Here is an 18,789-nt window from a genome sequence, read left to right as displayed (position 1 = left end):
GCAGCTTATAATCTATGTTCATTTCTTACATGAAGCAATTTTTGCTCTCAGATCTCATACTTCGTAGTGTTTTTATCTTACTATCTTTATTTTTAAAGGGTTTAAGCTCAAACTTAAGGAATGAAAAATAATTAAAAAATAAGATAGCTTATTTGATAATTTTACAATTAAAAAATTGTTATGTCCCCTAGAGATCCCATTCTCACTAAGGCTTTCAAAAATGTACTCTAAAATCTGCCTTTACCTTTTCCCCATTTATTTGGATCTCATTTACTGTGTCTGGCTTCTGTAAATGCACAGAAATTATTTTTTTGGAATCACCTATGACCCAATTGTCCATTCCAATAGCCTTCTCAGCTTTCATTATGTTGCACCTGATGGCTACTTTTTAGGTTCTCTTAGCTTCGAGAACCCTGTGCTATCTAGGTTTTCTTACCTTTGTTTTCTTTTTTAGCTTATTTATTTATTTTTTACTTTCTTGGTTTTCTTACCTTTGATGTTCCTTCACAGGATCTTTCTCTTTTTTTCTTTGTTTTTGTTGTTGTTGTTTGTTTGTTTCTTTTTTGAGACAGGATCTTGCTCTGTTGCCCAGGCTGGAGTGCAATGGCGTGATCTCAGCTCACTGCAACCTCCATGTCCTGGGTTCAAGTGATTCTCCCTTCACAGAATCTTTCATCGACTCTTGTTCCTTCAACTCCCTTTATTCTCCTTTGCTTGCTTGCTTTATTTATTTATTTATTATTTCTTTCTTAGACTGAAGAAGCTAAGAAATGCTAAATAAACTAAAACTGTAGTTAAAAATCTTTCTGAGAAAACATCAACCCCAGATGATCTTAGAGGCAGGTTCTCAAAATTTTCAACTGATTGTTTTGATATTATTCAAACATTGTCAAATAATAGAGAAAGAGGGAATGCTCCAAACATATTCTAGAAAGCCAGTATAATCTTGATAGCAAAACCAGACAAAGCATGAAAAATAAAAATTTCAGGTCAACCTCACCTATGAGTGTAGTTGTAAAAATATTAAAATACTAGTAAACCAAATCCAGGAATACGAATGTATTTTTTTTAGAGATGGGGTTTTCACCATGTTGCCCAGCCTGGTTTCAAACTCCTGAGCGCAAGCAATCTGCCCTTCTCGGCCTCCCAAAGTACTGGGATTACAGAGTTGTGCCATCGTGCCCGGCCTATTTTTTATTATGTGTTTTAAAATGCCATTTCTCTAATTATAAGCAATACCAAAATAGACAAAAGCAAACATTAGAGAAATATTTAGTGTACTAGAAGTGATAGTCTCTTCAAATCCTCTGCCATCAGAAATTGGGCAGGAGGAAGATAGTTAGACAGACAGATACATAAATAGGTGTTAGACGGATAGATAGATAGATAGATAGATAGATAGATAGTAGATCTATTTCAACTATTTAAAAATTATGGATAAGACAGAAGATAATATAACAAGTGATGATAATTCTAGTCATGTAAAACCCGAAGTCTCTCCAAGTTATGTGATTCTGTATAATTGACAACCCCCTTCCCAACCCTTTGCCTGAGCTCTTGATTTCCGGTCCTTACTCTCCTGTTCTTACATTGACCTCTTTGCTGTTTCTCTCATTAGCCAGTCTGCTCGCTCACCCAAGTTTTTCCTAACCACTCTAAACACCATGACCTTGACCTTGCCCTTGCCCTCCTGCAAACCTTGTAGCAGTAGCAGTCCTCCCCAACTGCCAAAGCACAGGCCAGAAGGTGCTCGAGAACCTGCCCAATTCTGGTACTAAAATGACTTGGATGAAAACAGAACCATTTGAAACAGCAAGCAAGCCCTTCCTTGGGTTTCCTCTCTTTATAATTACTATTGCTGTGTCACTCTATTTTTCCTGACCCGTTCTATTCTCCTTAGTCTTGTCTCCAGATATCCCCCGTTTTGCTTTGGGCCTTCCAGCTTGCTCCTCCCTCTGCCAGGACTGCCCTTCCCTTAGACACCCAGCTGACTCAGGTGTTATCCCAAATGTTATCTTCTCAAAGAGGCTTTCTCCGAAGAATTTAAAATAATGCTTAAATAATGCTGACAATTATACCCTCCCATCCCACTCCCAACAATGCCTGTCCCCATGCCTTGCTTTATTTTTTGTCTTTGTTATTATATGATACATATACAAGAATATTTGAAATATTTATGGATGTTACAAAGCATAAAAATACAGTGAACTGTTGAGAACCTGTCACTTTACCCAGTAAGTGGAAGATTACCAGTAGCATGCATAAGAGAACCTGTCACTTACCCAGTAAGTGGAAGATTACCAGTAGCATGCTTATGTTTATGTTTCCCCTGTTCTATCCTCCTGGCTCCTCCCAAGAGGTAACATATATCCTGGATTTTGAATCTATTACTTTCTTCTACTTAAAGATAGATTTATCACATTTTTATAAATGTCTAAACAGTATATTCTTTAGCTTTGTCTGGTTTTAAGCTTTATGAAATGGCATCCTGTTCTATATAGTCTTAAATCTTGCTTTCTTTTCACCCAACATAATGCTTCTAAGATTTGAACATGGTTTTACATTTATTTGTAATTCAGTGATTTTTTTATTGCTGTTTTAAAATTCATTGTGTGACTCTACCACAATTTTTTTAAAAAATTGTAATCTGGCATTTTTAAAAATGGAATTACTGATTCAAAGGCTATATATAGTTGTTCCTTTTGCAAGGTCATGCCAAATTGTTTTCCAAAGAAGTTGTACCAACAACTATTCTGCCACCAGCTATGTACTGGAATTCTGACTGACCTACTTCCTATTCAGTAGTTCTAAATTTTGAACCCATCTAGTAGGTATAAAATGGTATGTTATTGTGATCTTAATTTATATTTCCCTCATTATTGATGAGGTTGAACATTTTTTAATATGTGTATTGGTTAAACCTGTCTGTACTTTAGTTAAATGCCCGTTCAGACATTTTGCCCATTTTTCTATTTTGTTGTTTTTCATATTGACTTGTAGGAGTTCTTTATTTTGGATACTAAATCTTTGTTGCTTATATGTGTTGCATATATTTCTGCCAGTTTGTGCTTTGTCATTTATTTTCTTTATCTTTTGATAATTGGAAGTTATTTTAATACAGCCAAATTTATCAGTCTTTTCTTTTATTATTAGGATTTTTTTGTATCTTGTTTAAGAAATTCTTCCCTAACTTAGGATCAAAAAGATGTTCTATATTTTTTTCCAAAAGTTTTAAAGTTTTGCTTTTTCACATTTACTTTTTTAATCTGCCTAAAATTGATGTGTTTATGGTATAAGGTGAAGATTCATTTAATTGATTTTTTCCACATTTAGATAACTTGTTGTACCAACACCATTTATTGAACAGATCCTCCTTTCTCTACTGATCTCAGGTTTCCTTTCTCTTGGTATCATGATTCCATTGAGGGTCTCTGCTCTATCCCACTGATCAATTTGTTCCATAGGAACAAAATCCCTGATGGGATTTTGATGGAAATGACTGTAAATGGAATTTACAAATAAGTATGGGGAGAATTGATTTTTTTTTTTACTGTATCGAATCTTCTTATCTATATATATGGGTTAATTTATTTAAGACTTTCAAAATGTCATTTAAGATAAGGTTTCGGCCAGGCACAGTGGCCCATGCCTGTAATCCCAGCACTTTGGGAGGCCGAGCGGATCACGAGGTCAGGAGTTCGAGACCAGCCTGACCAACATGGTGAAACCCCGTCTCTACTAAAAATACAAAAAATGAGCCGGGTATGGCGGCGGGCACCTGTAGTCCCAGCTACTTGGGAGGCTGAAGCAGGAGAATGGCGTGAACCCGGGAGGTGGAGCTTGCAGTGAGCCGAGATCGCGCCACTGCACTCCAGCCTGGGCGACAGAGCAAGACTCCATCTCAAAACAAAACAAAACAAAAAAACAAAAATTAGCCAGGTGTGGTGGCACATGCCTGTAATCCCAGCTACTCAGGAGGCTGAGGCAGGAGAATCGCTTGAACCTGGAAGGCAGAGGTTGTAGTCAGCGAAGATCGTGCCACTGCACTCCAGCCTGGGCAACAGAGCGAGACTCCTTCTCAAAAAAAAAAAAAAAAAAAAGAAAAGAAAAAAGATTTCATGGTGTTCTGCATACCAATCTTGTACATTCTTTGATATATTTATTCTTAGGCATTGTATGGTTTTTCTTGCTATAGAAGTGTTACCTTTGAAAAATTATATTTCCTAGCTCTTTTTTTCCTGGTATATAGAAAAACAGTTGACTCTTTCATATTATTCAGTTAGCCAGACATCTTGCTAAGCTCTGTTACTATTGCCAACAATTTGTCTGTAAATACTTTGGTTTTCTATGTAGATAATTATAGCATCTGCAAATAATAATACTTTTGTTTCTGCCCTTCAATCTATATACCTTTAATTATTGTTTTATAGTACCGGGTTTATATTACAATGTTGATTTTATAAGTGGTGATAGTAGGCATCCTTGTATTATTTCTGATTTTAAAGGAAATACTTCTAATGTTTCCTTCTTAGTTTTTAGTGTGTGCCTGTTGTCAGGTTAAGGTAGATTTTTTCTAGCCTAACTTGCTGAAAATTTTTATCATGAATGAGTGTTAAATTCTATCAGCTGTTTTTTTTCCCCAGCATCTATCAAGATGATTTTATAATTTTCTTCTTAATCTGTTCATATGGTGATAAACTTCCATAGATTTTCTCATGTTAAGCCATCTGGATGGATTTGGTTTACTAATATTTTGTTTAATATTTTTACAACTATATTCATGAGTAAGGTTGGCCTGAAGTTTTTCTTTTTCATTCTTTGGTTTTGCAACCAACATTATATTGACCTTCTAGAATATGTTTGGAGCATTTAATCTTTTTCTGTTATTTGACAGTGTTTGAATCATATTGAAACAATCTGTTGAAAATTTTGAGAACTCCCCTCTAAGATCATCTGTGGTTGGTGTTTTCTCAGAAAGATTTTTAACTACAGTTTTAGTTTATTTAGCATTTCTTAGTTTCTTCAGTTTTTCTAATTCATTGTGAATCAATTTGTAGGTTACATTTTTGACTTTACATTTTCAAATTAATAGATATGAAGTTATTCATGGGATTTTTAGATTTTTCTGTCCTCTACTGGATCTAATGTAGTTTATTTGCACTTTCTCTCTTCTTGCTCCAGTCGTCCCAAAGGCTTCATAATTCTCTCTGGTTCATGGATTTCTACCCTTTATCTTCCCTCCCCCCCACCCCCCTTCACAACTCCTTTGTAGTTCTAAAACACCAGAGGAAGGAGGGGCTTGGGTTTCGCTGGTTCTACTTAAACACATCATGGCTTTCTGTTCCATTGTTGGGGGATTTTGGTGAAGTCGCTGGTCTCTTGCTGCATAGACAAGGCTGGGGTGCAAGGAGAGAGACACCGTCGCATGCTTCGAGGTTACTGGCCGGCCGGACCCCAGCTGGACGGTGCGCTACCTCGTACCACCACCAGGAGGCGGTTGTTCCCTCTGGCTTTTCCTTTGGGGGTGATAGAGGGGAGTGCAGGGGTCGGGAGGCAGGAGGGTGTAGACAGCGCAGAAATAGTGTCGGGTCGTGGTGGGTGAAGCAAGATCGCGAAGGCCTGGGGCATAGGTGGAGACCCTCCTCTGTCTCTGTGGGGAGTCCTTGCAGCCACGAGGATTTCAGGATCCTGGGTTCCCTCCACAAAAGACTGGAGGCGGGCGGTCACGCGGCCCGAGGCAGCAATTACAGCAGTGGGAGATTTTCCTTCTCTCACCTGCCGGGGAGCCCCTTCCTCCCACTTGGGAGGACCAGGAAACACTGCTGCCTTCCAAGGTTTGCCCGCCACCCCACGATGAGTCAGACGCCAGAACTCAACCGTGCGCAGTGGAACAGGGGAGGCAGCCGAGGTGGGTTAACTGCATCGATAGGGATGATGAACGAGATTCCAGAAATTCCCAGAGAGACATATAGCAAAGCCAAAGGGAAAAGGGAGTAGTAAAACTAACTTTGTCTTTTCCGAATCCCCCCTCCCCGCCCCCTCCGCCGTTGGCCCGGTTGACCCCCTGCAGGTGGCCGTACTCAGCACGACTTAAGCACCTGTTGCAGGTGGAGGCGCACGTCGGTTTCCCAGGGCACCACGCTGGCACAGAACGAGCTGGGCTCCGCCTTCTGGGCCTCAGGGATGAGGCGGTGCATGGGGTAGCTGCGGCGCGGGAAGGCCATGTCGCCGCCCGCCAGCAGCCCCATGGGCAGAAGTCGTTGGCGCTGTCGCCCACATGGAAGAGGCACTCGAAGTGCATGCCGTCGTGGGCCCGTTCGCGCAGGTAGTCGCTGAGCACCTTGTGCTTGCACATGTTGGCGGGGCAGCACACGCAACTATGTGTGTGGAACGGCCACAGAGCCAGCAGCTCCTGCGCGTCGGACCCCGACGAGTTGCTGAGGATGCGGAGGAACAGGCTCTGGTGGCCGGTGGCGCGCTGCGTGCTCTCCATGCCGAAGGTGTTAGCATCAGAGATGAGAATCACCTCGAAGGAGGTGCCTTGCTTAGCCACAAACTGCAGCAGGTCGCCCATGCCTGGCAACAAAGGGATAGCTTCGTAGATGGCACGCAGGTCCCGCGACCGCACACCCTGCTTGCCCAGATACTTGAAGACGCGCTGCATGTGCTCGTTGTAGAAGCCCTCGCGGTCGGTGGCTCGCAGGCTCTCCTGCACCTGCTGTCCCGGCACAGTTCGCAGGACTGAGTCGCCGCTGTTTTCGTCTACGATAGTCTCTTCGAAATCGAAGGTCAGGAGGAAGCGCGGCGCGTCGTGCGCGGCCATCCCTCCGTCTCTAGATAGGCACCAGAGGCCAGAAACTGGAAAACAGCCGCTCATTGTCCATGCATTACCGTGGACACCACCTGTAGGGACTCTGTTGGCCTCCAGCCGTCGTCAAGAGTTCGGAAATTGGAGGGGACAAAGTGTCTTATCCACCCCTGGATTTCTGGGCTCCGGCTCGTGAGTCCCTGTAGTCCCGAGGGACCGAGGATGATGTGCATCTGAACGGTCCCCTCCACTTGCCCACCCATCCTACCCTTTATCTTTCTACTTCTACTTTCTTTTGGTTTATTCTGTTGACCTTTTCTCTTTCTCTATTTTTTAAACTTATTGAGCACATAACTCATTATTCTCAGCCTTTTTCTCTTCCTAACATATTTAAGGCTATACATTTTCCTTGTAAGTACTGTATTAGATGTCTTCCACAAAGTTTTTGTAGATAGTATTTTCATTATTTCAATTCTGAATATTTTAAACTTTTATGGTTTCTCCTTTTACTCTGAGTAATTTAGAAATATTTAAAAATTTTCAAATATGTAGAGTTTTAATTGTATTGTGGTTAGAGAACATAGTCTGTTTGATAAAAAATTTCTTGAAATTTCTTGAGACCTGCTAGTATATGATCAGTATTTGTAAATGTTCCATGTGTGCTTGAGAAAAATGTGTACTCTCTAATTACTGGATAGAAAGTTGTGTATATGCTCTCTAGATCATCCTAGTTAATTGTATCCTTTGGATAGTCTATATTTTACTAATCTTTTGTCTGTTTGACATATGAATAATTGAGGAAAGTATGTTATCATTGGCCTTTTTACTCCCTGAAGTTATATTTATTTTGCTTCATATATATATTTTTCAAGTACATAACAGGTTTAGGATTATTGCCTCTTCCTGGTGAATTGAACTTTGTATCATTATATAGTGATCATCTCTACCCCTAATTTGTTTTGAAATTTTTTAATTTTTACAGACACATAGTAGATTCCTGTCCTTTATCTTCCCCCCTGCCTCCCCTCCCCCTGGCCCCCTTCACCTCCTCTGTAGTTCTAAAACACCAGAGGAAGGAGGGACTTGGGTTTCGCTGGTTCTGCTTAAAAACATCATGGCTTTCTGTTCCATGGTCGGGGGCAAGAAGTGTGCCGAGGTTCCAGCCTGCGAGGGACTGGGTGTATAGTAGATGTGTATATTTATGGGTTACATGAGATATTTTGATAAAGGCATGCAATGTGTAATAATCACAAGAGGGTAAATGGGGTATCCATCACCTCAAGCATTTATCCTTTGTGTTACAAACAATCCAATTATACTCTTTTAGTTATTTTTAAAAGTACAATTAAATTAGTATTGACTGTAGTCACCCTGTTGTGCTATCAAATACTACTTCTTATTTATTCTTTCTATTTTTTGTGCCCATTACAGCCCCACTTCCTCCTCTCTCCTGCCCCTACTACCCTTCCCCGCCTCTGGTAACCATATTTCTACTCTCTATCTCCATAAAGTCAATTTTTTTAATTTTTTTTTTTTTTTGAGATGAAGTCTCGCTCTGTCACCCAGGCTGGAATGCAGTGGCCTCATCTTGGCTCACTGCAACCTCCGCCTCTGGGGTTAAAGCAATTCTCCTGCCTCAGCCTCCCAAGTAGCTAGGACTACAGGCACGGGCCATCATGCCCGGCTAATTTTTGTATTTTCAGTAGAGACAGGGTTTCACCATGTTGGCCAGGCTGGTCTCAAACTCCTGACCTTGTGATCTGCCCGCCTTGGCCTCCCAAAGTGCTGGGATTACAGGTATGAGCCACTGCGCCTGGCCAATTGTTTTAATTTTTAAAAGTTTAATTTTTAATAATGTTTAATTAAATTAAATTAACTTAATTTTTAATTAATTTAATTAAAATTTTAAATTTTAATAGTGAGATGGGGTCTCACTATGTTGCCCAGGCTGGTCTTGAAATCCTGGGTTCAGGTGATCCTTCTGCCACAGCTTTGCAAAGTGCTGGGATCACTGTCCTGTCTTGGCTTTGCCTATAGAGTAAATTCCAATTTCTTTAATGCGGTATTTTATTCCCAAGATAGTTTTCCAGTTGCATTTCTACACCAAACATTCACTGCTCTTGTCACATCAAAATATATATAAACTCTCAACATGCCATGTCTGTGTTTTTATGTGACTGTGTCCTTACCTGTAGGGTTCCATGAGCCTGAAAACTTTTTTGTTGTTGTTGTTGTTTATGCTTATCAAAATCTTAGTTATCCTTAGCTATAACCCCAAAATCTTAGTATCCCTTTTTTATTTATTGAGCCACTTCATCCAGCCAATTGTTTTAATTTTTAGCTCCCACAAATAAGTGAGAACATACGAAGTTTGTCTTTCTATGCCTGGTTTATTTAATTTAATGTGATGATCTCCAGTTCTATCCTAATAATGTTTTTGTGTTAAAAGCTATTTTATCTGATGTTACCATAGTTGACTCAGCTTTCCTTTGGCAGTTTGCCTTTTACTTTCAGCTTTTATGGTTCTTACCTTTAGGTGGACCTCTTTTAAATAGCATGGATTTTGTTTTTAATCCACTATGGAAATACCTGTGTCTTTTAGCTGGAAAATGTATTGTTTTACTCGTCAGGCCTAAGTTGGTAAGTGTTTCCTCCAGAAGGGGTTTGCTTTGGCTTCTACTGGTAGCATCTAGGTTTCCTTTAGTGCCCTTGAAGGTCTTAGTGATTGTGGGGTAGCAGGCTCAGCTTCCTTACCTTGCTGGTGGCCCAAGGCTCAGTGTCCTTGCTGAAGTGCATTATTGGCAGCTGCTCTCAGGCCTACCTTGCCTTTCCTTAACTCTCCAGCCATAAGGATACCTTATTTGGAGTGAGGGTAAAGTTTGTTATCTCTTGTGCAATCTGGGATGCTTCAAGGAATATTTCCTTTCTTTTTCCTTTTTCTCTCTTTTCCCTCTCCTCTGCTGTCTCTCTCCCTCTTCCCCCTTTCCTTCTCCCTTCTCCTCTACTCTCCTTTCCCCTTCCTGACTCCTCCCCTCCCCTCCCCTCCTATCAAAGACAGGGTTTCTCCCAGCCTGGCCTTGAACACCTGGGCTCAGGCAATCCTCCCACCTCAGCCTCTGGAGTAACTGGGATTACAGGTGTGGACCACCGTGCCTGGTTTGTTTCTTATATAGCATATAGCTGTTCTGTTAAGGGGAGGGTCCCTCAGAGCACTTAGTCAGCCATAATAGCAGATTTGACAATCTCTTGTATTCTCTTTTTGTTTTCTTTTCCATGGTACTTATCAGTATATGATATGTTGTATACTTATTTATTTATTGCCTTTCTCTTCTCACTAGACTGTAAGCTCCACGAGGGCAAGGATTTTTCCTGTTTTTGTTTTCTGCTGCTTCTGTAGCATCTAAATCACTGCCTGTTACTTAGTTTGTGATCAAACAATATTTGTTGAATGAATGAGGGTTGAGAAGATAGTGTGAAAAGGCAATGCCAAGTCTTGAACCCTTTTTTTTTTTTTTTTTTTTTGAAACAGAGTCTCACTCTGTCGCCTAGGCTGGAGTGCGGTGGCACAGTCTGAGCTCACTGCAACCTCCGCTTTCCCGCTTTCCGGGTTCAAGCGATTCTCCTGCCTCAGCCTCCTGAGTAGCTGAGATTACAGGTGCACACCACCACGCCCAGCTAATTTTTGTATTTTTAGTAGAGACGGGGTTTCACCATGTTGGTCAGGCTGGTCTCGAACTCCTGACCTCGTGATCCACCCGCCTCGGTCTCCCAAAGTGCTGGGATTACAGGCGTGAGCCACCACGCCCAGCCTCCAATTTCCTTAATCTGGTATTTTATTCCCAAAGTTGTTTTCCAGTTGCATTTCTACACCAAACATTCACTGCTCTTGTCACATCAAAATATGTCTAGGCTGTCAATATGCCATGTCTGTGTTTTTATGTCCTTACCTGTAGGGTTCCATGAGCCTGAAAACTCTTCATTTTTGTTGTTTATGCTTATCCAAATCTTAGTTATCCTCACTTAAAGTCATCCAGAGTCATCTTCCTAAAGACTATTCTGATGTTCAATGAGAAGAATCATTCATTCCATGCAATTTTTCTTTCTATATTGATAGTTTTCATAATCTGCCCTCTGCCTTGTCCCTCCTTCCTTCCTTCCTTCCTTCCTTCCTTCCTTCCTTCCTTTCTTTCCCTTTCCTCCTTTCCTCTCCTTTCTTTTTCTTTTTTTTTTTTTTTTTTGATGGAGTCTCACTCTGTTGCCCAGGCTAGAGTACAGTGGCACGATCTCAGCTCACTGCAACATTCACCTCCTGGGTTCAAGCGATTCCTGCCTCAGCCTCCCAAGTAGCTGGGACTACAGGTGCCTGCCACCATGCCTGGCTAATTTTTGTATTTTTAGTAGAGATGGGGTTTCACCATGTTGACCAGGCCGGTCTTGAACTCCTGACCTCAGGTGATCCACGTACCTCGGCCTTCCAAAGTTCCTGGGATTACAGGTGTCAGCCACTGCACCCAGCCTCTTCCTTGTAGTCTTAAAAGCTGTCTGTCTTTTCCTCCTGGATTTAAGCTCCTTAAAGTCAAGATCTTCATGTTTTATTTCCTGTTGTTTCCTAAAGGCCTGAAGTACAACACTTTTTACATAATGGACCTTTGATAAATAGTTTTTTTTTTCTAGTATGGTGAACCAATCTCATCTCATATGGTGAACCAATCTTTTTCTTTTTCTTTCTAGTATGGTGAACCAATCTCATTTCAGGTATCACACTCTGGTGATAATAACTTTCAAATCCAAATCTTCCTCTTCTCACTCCTCTGGCTAGTATGACTTAGGCATTTCACATTTCTCAAACTCTTTCATTTTATTTAATATTTTTTGAGACGGGGTCTCACTCTGTTGCCCAGGCTTGAGTGCAATGGCACGCTCACAGCTCACTCTAGCCTCGACCTCCTGGGCTCAAGCAGTCCTCTCACCTCAGCCTCCCAAGTAGCTGGGACCACAGGCATGTGCCACCATGCCTGGATAATTTTTTTTAATTTATGTTTTATAGAGACAGGGTCTCTTCAGGTTGCTTAGGCTGGTCTCAAACTCCTGGGCTTAAACGATCCTCCTGCTTCGACTTCCCAAAGTGCTGGGATTACAGGTTTGAGCCACCACGCCTAACCATTTTTCAAACTCAATATGTTGTCGCCTTCTCTTTATTGTTCCTTATTTTTAAACCATTACCTCTTATAACTTTTCTGTGTCCATGAAAGGCACCATTATTCTTCCAGTCACATAAACTTAAAACCTTGGTAAAATCTTTACCACCCTTTTTCTTAATCTTTTAGCTTAAGCCAGTCACAAAGTCCTGTTAATTTTCTCCTCTAAAATGCTTCTCAGCTCCATACCTCCCTTGCCATTTCTGCTGACAAGACATTGGACAGAGCTCTTACCACCTCACATCCAATTCCACTCCCTCATCCTCTCCTGTAAACTCACTGACTGTAATATAACGGTCTGATTACTTCACTTGGCATTTAAGACTATCCAGAGTCTAGGTTCATCCTACTACCCTCAACATGAGCCCTTTTCAGATTTTTTTTTTTTTTTTTTTTTTTTTGTGACAGGGTCTTGCTCTGTCACCCAGCCTGGAGTGCAGTGGCATAATCATGGCTCACAGTAGTACCCTGGTAGCCTCAATCTGCTAGACTCAAGCAATCCTTCCGCCTCAGCCTCCTGAGTAGCAGGGACTCCAGGTGCATGCCACCACACTAGGCTATTTTAAAAAATTATTTGTAGAAACAGAATCTTACTATTTTGTGTTTTGCCCAGGCTGGCCTTGAACTCCTAGACTCAGGTGAGTCTCCCGCCTCGGTCTCCCAAAGTCCTAGGATAACAGGTGTGAGCCACTGCACCTGGCCCAAGTCAGACTTCTGCGTCTTATGCATACCTGGTCATATCCTTTTTCCACTTCCTATGGTGTCCTTGCCCTTCCTCTACTCTGCCATGATGGTTCCTGTTCATTTTCATATCCGTCTAATGGACACCATTCCCACTTCCATCCCCAGTGAGCATTTCCCTTAACAGTGGAATCTTTAATTCATCACTTCCTCCTTTGAATTTGTTTTTTAAGTGCTTTTTGTTTTCATTGAAACATTTTTAACAATCAGCAAATTGAAAGGGATCTTTAAAGTAATCCAGTTTAATCTTGAACACAAAACCTCAGTCTTCTCTATAACTCATACATAGCACTAGCTTCTAATATTATACAATCCTTCTTAGTTTTCTTTCTACTTATGTAGTAAGCGTCTGGAGGTTAGGAACTTGGTTTTTACTGTGCTTTTGTTTTCCCTCTTAAAGATTGGCATGGTTCTTTATCCTTAGAAGATACAAAAAATGCATTCGTTGATTGAATAAATGAATCCAGTAAGTTAATAACACATACATTTTCCTTCAAAGACTTTACAAAGGAGACTCACTCTCTCCCCCTTCCAAAGCCTATCTCAACAGTTTCTCTGTTTCCAAGTGTCTACAGATAAGGGTGACTGAAAATATGGTAGATACATTTGCAGCCTACTCTTTTCTTTTTATAGTTCTGTATTAGCCTTGGTTTTTATTTTCCTACATCTTGAAATTATATTTGGAATTTCCTACTTTTGCATGTATGATAGCTGATGCATGAATTTTAATAGAGTTGTTGAATGCTGATCATGTTTTTCTACGGTAGTTTAGAAATATTTAGGAAGGAATATTCCATTCAACTTATTCATATGAAGGCGATTATGTTGTGGTTTGAAATTTTATATAAAATTTTTCAAGCACATAAACTGTGCAGGTTTAAAAATTATTATTAGTTTTTTCTGCGGGATGAATCTATTTAGAAATGATAGCTTTAATTGCTTTGTAATTATTTGTATGATATAATTTTGAAAATAAGGTGTGTTTCCATAGCAAGGATGTTCATATAAAGTTAGTGCTGACTTCAATTATGTCAAATGCTTTAACTATGTAGAGGGTGCTTAATATTTGATTTACTTTTGATGAAAATACAGAAATGATTTTTTATATGATAAGAACTTTTCTCCATTTTAGAGCATGTCAAAAGAATAAACATGGTAATTTGAATGCTCTATTTTTATTTCTAGAAACCAGCAAATATCCTAGTAATGGGAGAAGGTCCTGAGAGGGGGAGAGTCAAAATAGGTAGGTAATTATTCCTAAAATAATTTATTTAAAAACTGAAGTTAACTGCAAAGATGGTTTCCCTTTTTAATGCCCTTATTTAGGTAGTTAATTTTAAAATTACTTTCTCATTATTTTTAGAAAAGATATTGGAAAATGTAGATAGATAGTCTACAAAACTCCTAGGTTTTTTCCCAAAATAAGATTCTTTAGTTCTAAGTTGAGGCATCACTGGAAATTGACAAGCTAGTTCACAAAAGCATTCATTCCCATACAGTAACCCAAGCATGTGTTTATGTCACCACCACTGTCCTGCACAGCCACCTTAAATATAATCCTCTAAATCTCACTTCTGTTTCAGGTTTACCAACTATTCTCTTCCTGAATATTTTCCTCCCCACCCTGAGCGAATATATTTAAACCTTCACAGGTTCTCCCTACTTCACCACACCTGGCCTGCATGTCTTGCACCAAGTACTAACATACCTTTTCCAAATAGATATATATGTTTACAGACTCTCTTAGCTGCCTCTCTTAGATTGAGGCACTGGCAGGATTCTTATTTGTATATTAAGATTTCCTTTATAATCCTGAATGTTCTAAAAAAAAAAATCAGCATCATTTATACCTATTACATATTTGGGGAGAAGATGAGCTAAGAAATGCTTTATTCTAATTTCTTTTTTTGAGACGGAGTCTCGCTCTGTTGCCCAGGCTGGAGTGCAATGGCGCGATCTTGGCTCACTGCAACCTCCGCCTCCTGGGTTCAAGCAATTCTCCCTGCCTCAGTCTCCCAAGTAGCTGGGACTACAGGCTCCCGCCACCACGCCTGGCTAATTTTTTTGTGTATTTAGTAGAGATGGGGTTTCACCATGTTGGCCAGGCTGGTCTCGAACTCCTGACCTCAGGTGATCTGCCTGCCTTGGCTTCCCAAAGTGCTGGGATTACAGGCATGAGCCACCACGCTAGGCCTATTCTGGTTTCTTTTACTAGAAATTATATTTATTGAAAGTTGAATGCTTTTTAGAAATATGTTAAAATGTGTTAATCAGCCTGGTTTCTTTGCTATTAGAATATACCATGCTAAAGGTGATGCAAAATTGTGCTCACTTGACCCACTACAAATTCATGCTGCCCTATTTCAAGCCCACCCTGCTGTTTAGTTTTCTACTTTTTCAGTTAACTCCCTAGCCCAGTTGCTAAATAAGCTGTTCTAAACCAACTTCCTTTTCTTTAAACACCTCTAGCCTAAGTTTGCTGAGATTATCAGATTCATTCAGAAGTTTGTTGATGTTAATTAAGTAGCTGGTAGCTTTCCTTCTCTTCCCTCCCCCACTTCCACCATAATTTCTCACTTGTCTATTTTTATTTTACTCTTGCACTCCTTTTCTTAGAGGCATTTATTGAGTGCCTACTTTTTGCCAGATACAGGCGAAAGGGAGATAAAGGATGGTCCCTTCTGTGAGAGACAGTAAAATGAACAGTTTACTATACATTGCAATATGTACTTTGATGTTACCGCATTTATTTTACACAACCACCCTCTGAAAATAAGGAAGACAAGATTTAGAGAGGTTGTAGCTTCCTCAGCCTGTCAAAGCTAGAACTTGAATTCTAAGTCCTGAGGCTCTTTCCCTACAAACATCCCTGCCTAGTGATATCAGAGCTGTCTGGTGTGATCTCACTGACCTCTACTCTTTGGCTGTACAGCCCTGCCCTTGAGAAAGCCTCTGTGAAAGACAGACTTTCCTTTCCTAAGTCCTATCTACTAGTGCCCTTCCTAGCTTCTAAATGTCTTCCTACCTCATAGTACAATATTGCTATTTCCCCTTCTCAAGTTTCTCTTTTTCACCTTTAAACCTTCATCGTCCTTTTCCCAATTTAAAATACATCTTATATCCATCTTGTTTTTCTTTAGCACTTGCTCTATTCATTTCCCTTTTTGTTCCTCTACTTTTAGAACACATGATGTTCACTCTTTGGTTCCACTTACTCTAATTTGTTATAACCTGGCCTCTAATTCCATCCCTCTATCAAAAGTCCTCTCTGAAAGGACACCTGTGACCTCTACTTTACCAAATCAAGTGGCCTGTATTAATCAACTTTCTCCTTTACTGCAGTAAACCATTTGTTCTTCTGACAGTCCTGGCTTTGAGGGTGTCTTCTCCGCTGGTCTATATGGCATACCATAATTCCATTTTTCTGCCTCCCACTTTTGCTGTGACTTTGCCTTCTGTTCATTCTTGCCTCTTACTTCTACTAACCTATTGTTTCAAGGCACTGGCTTAGGACATGGCTTCCCTCTAAAATTACTTCTTTAGGAAATTGATAAGTTATGGCCTCAGGATCATGGATTTATGAAAATGATTCTAAGATCTTGATACCAGAGTCTAATCTCTCACCCTAGCCGAAGTCTTTATTTCTATTTGGATATCTTGTGGTAACTTATCCTCCATTGTCCCAAACCAAATTCATCATCATCATCTTGTATTCCCCTTGTTTGTACCATTCGTCACATTTCTCCCAGTCACCCCAATCTAATTTGTTCTCTTAGTACTCCTTAGCAAAATTCTGTACTCTGGCCAGGCCAGTTAGTTACCTTACTATTAAGAGTTTTAAGATTGTAATTCTGCCAAGATTAGGGATAAAACTAGGGTTAAAAGTAAGTAATAATTAATGATAAAGATCTAATGGACAATCAAGATAGTTTATTAAATAGATTTTAAATTTTGTTTTAGTAGCCACTATTGTTTTTTAAACATTAGTAATACCAATGCCTATGCCTAATGCTTTGATACAGTGTTGTTTTTTGCTTAAAAGAAAAGGATAGTTGGGCTGGGCACAGTGGCTCATGCCTGTAATCCCAGCACTTTGGGAGGCCAAGGCGGGCAGATCATGAGGTCAAGAGATCGAGACCATCTGGCCAACATGGTGAAACCCCGTCTCTGCTAAAAATACAAAAATTAGCTGGGCGTGGTGGTGCGTGCCTGTAATCCCAGCTACTCGGGAGGCTGAGGCAGGAGAAGTGCTTGAACCCGGGAGGCGGAGGTTGCAGTGAGCCGAGATCATGCCACTGCACTCCAGCCTGGGCGACAGAGCAAGACTCCATATGGGAGGCGGTGGGGGAGGGGGAGTGGGTAAGAAAAGGATACTTGCATGGAAAACACATTTTGCCCTTTGCTGTATCTAAGCCTTCCCATTCTCAGCAACCTAAAAACTTCCCAGGTCTTACCTAAAATGCTTATTGCCTTCCTCTTTTGCTATTCAAAATAATTCATCCTGCAGGATCCAGCCCAAGTCCCACTTTCAATTTAGTCTGCTTTTACAAATGTTTATTATACATTGTTCCAGATAACATAATAAAAGAGAAATAGACCTTCCCCCAGGGGACTTAGCATCTAGTAGAAACCGGTAACAACTTCCTTTATTCTCACAGTACTTATCACTTTTTTGCTTCTACTCTGTATATTTTGTCATCTCACCTTCCTGTAAACTCCTTAGTGGTAGACCTTGTTTGTTGCTGCTTTTCATTTGATACTAATTAGCACTCACACCAGAATTTTACTAACCTTATCTGTGAACTGGAACAATTTCATCCATGTGTAATTTTAGAAAGTCAACTGTTACAGTAATCTTTAGGCTAATTACCTTTTGTCTAAATCAGTATTTATTTGAAAAGTAGTTTGAAACTCTTTTAAAGTTCATAAAATAGATGGGAATTGTTTTTAAAAGTATGTATTTTTTCCTTCTGGCCTTGATTGCATCTGCGAGTGAGTAGATGAGGCTTAGGTAAAACTGAGGAGGTAGAGAATAAGGGGAGAAATACTGGCTTTAGCTAACTTTACTTTAGAATGTTTTTCAATGGATGAAACAGCATTCCATCATATTACTTTGTCATCAACAACAATTGGCATCTATTAAATATATAAAACAGTGCCTTGAATATTGTGTAATATTGTAGAATAATAGGTGTAATATTGGTAGAATGAATTTGAATATTTTTGTTTGCTGTAGGGAAATGTAGTTTAAAAAGAGTAGGTATCAGCACAGGCTTCCTTTGGATAGCTTTAGTTTTTAAGAGCTGGATACTCCAAAGCATTCTCAAAAAAGTCTTACAAATTATTCAAAATCCAAAGAAACAAAATCACTACAGGCCGGGCTCAGTGGCTCATGCCTGTAATCCCAGCCCTTTGGGAGGCTGAGGCAGGCAGATCACTTGAGGTCAGGAGTTCATGACCAGCCTGGCCAACATGGTGAAACCCCATCTCTACTAAAAATACAAAAATTAGCCAGGCATGGTGGTGGCGCACCTGTAATCCCATCTACTCTAGAGGCTGAGGCAGGAGAATCGCTTGAACCTAGGAGGTAGAGGTTGCAGGGAGCTGAGGTGGCACCACAGCACTCCAGCCTGGGCAACAGAGCGAGACTCCATCTCAAAACAAAAACACAAGACAAAGACCCGAAATTTCTATAAATTAAAAAGATTTTTTGCCTGTTCTGCTTATGTAAATGTAAATTAAAATTTTAATATGTTATACCGTAGCACATTAGTTTTAGATTAAATGACATTCTGTGGTTGAAAGTTTTATGTGCATTTATGCATTTTATAGTACATTGGGGCCCCTTATACAATCAACATTTGTTATGTATATTATGTATTCAAATTATAGAGGCTTATTCTTGTGACTTTGCCTTTGTGACTTGCAATTATCATATGTATAATTTGTTGGATGTCAGATTTAGTAGTTAAGGAGGTAGCTCCTAAATTATAACATGGTTTTTGTTTGAGTACTGGCATGTTTATTTACTATCCCTGTGAC

At 40.1% G+C, this 18,789-nt stretch overlaps 1 protein-coding gene and 1 pseudogene across 18 annotated transcripts in view, besides 1 other annotated feature; one reads left to right on the top strand and one right to left on the bottom strand.

The window, feature by feature from the left end:
* CDK19 (cyclin dependent kinase 19) overlaps positions 1-18,789 on the top strand; it is a 205,878-nt gene that overhangs the window by 163,217 nt on the left and 23,872 nt on the right. For 15 of the 18 annotated variants that reach the window (XM_047418470.1, NM_001300964.2, XM_011535630.3 and 12 more), the window contains one exon: positions 13,933-13,990. The exons of 1 other annotated variant lie outside the window; for it this stretch is intronic. In XM_047418470.1, coding sequence (XP_047274426.1) covers positions 13,933-13,990 — 58 coding nt within the window. Of the gene's footprint in view, positions 1-9,216; positions 9,449-13,932; positions 13,991-18,789 lie in introns of those variants that run through there. 2 more of the 18 variants (XM_005266871.4, XM_047418472.1) reach the window with 2 other exon arrangements.
* Positions 5,129-6,065: an enhancer, noted in NCBI's record as "H3K27ac-H3K4me1 hESC enhancer chr6:110967777-110968713 (GRCh37/hg19 assembly coordinates)". NCBI's record gives its function as "activates a minimal SCP1, AML or CMV promoter by ChIP-STARR-seq in primed H9 embryonic stem cells {active_cell/tissue: H9 hESC(primed)}" and the evidence as "EXISTENCE:reporter gene assay evidence [ECO:0000049][PMID:30033119]".
* LOC100129155 (phosphoethanolamine/phosphocholine phosphatase 1 pseudogene) lies at positions 5,884-7,073 on the bottom strand (annotated as a pseudogene).

Source organism: Homo sapiens, chromosome 6 (assembly GCF_000001405.40).
Source record: "Homo sapiens chromosome 6, GRCh38.p14 Primary Assembly".
Lineage (NCBI taxonomy): Eukaryota > Metazoa > Chordata > Mammalia > Primates > Hominidae > Homo > Homo sapiens.
Note: the sequence above shows the minus strand (reverse complement) of the source record. Positions and strands in the feature narration are given on the sequence as shown.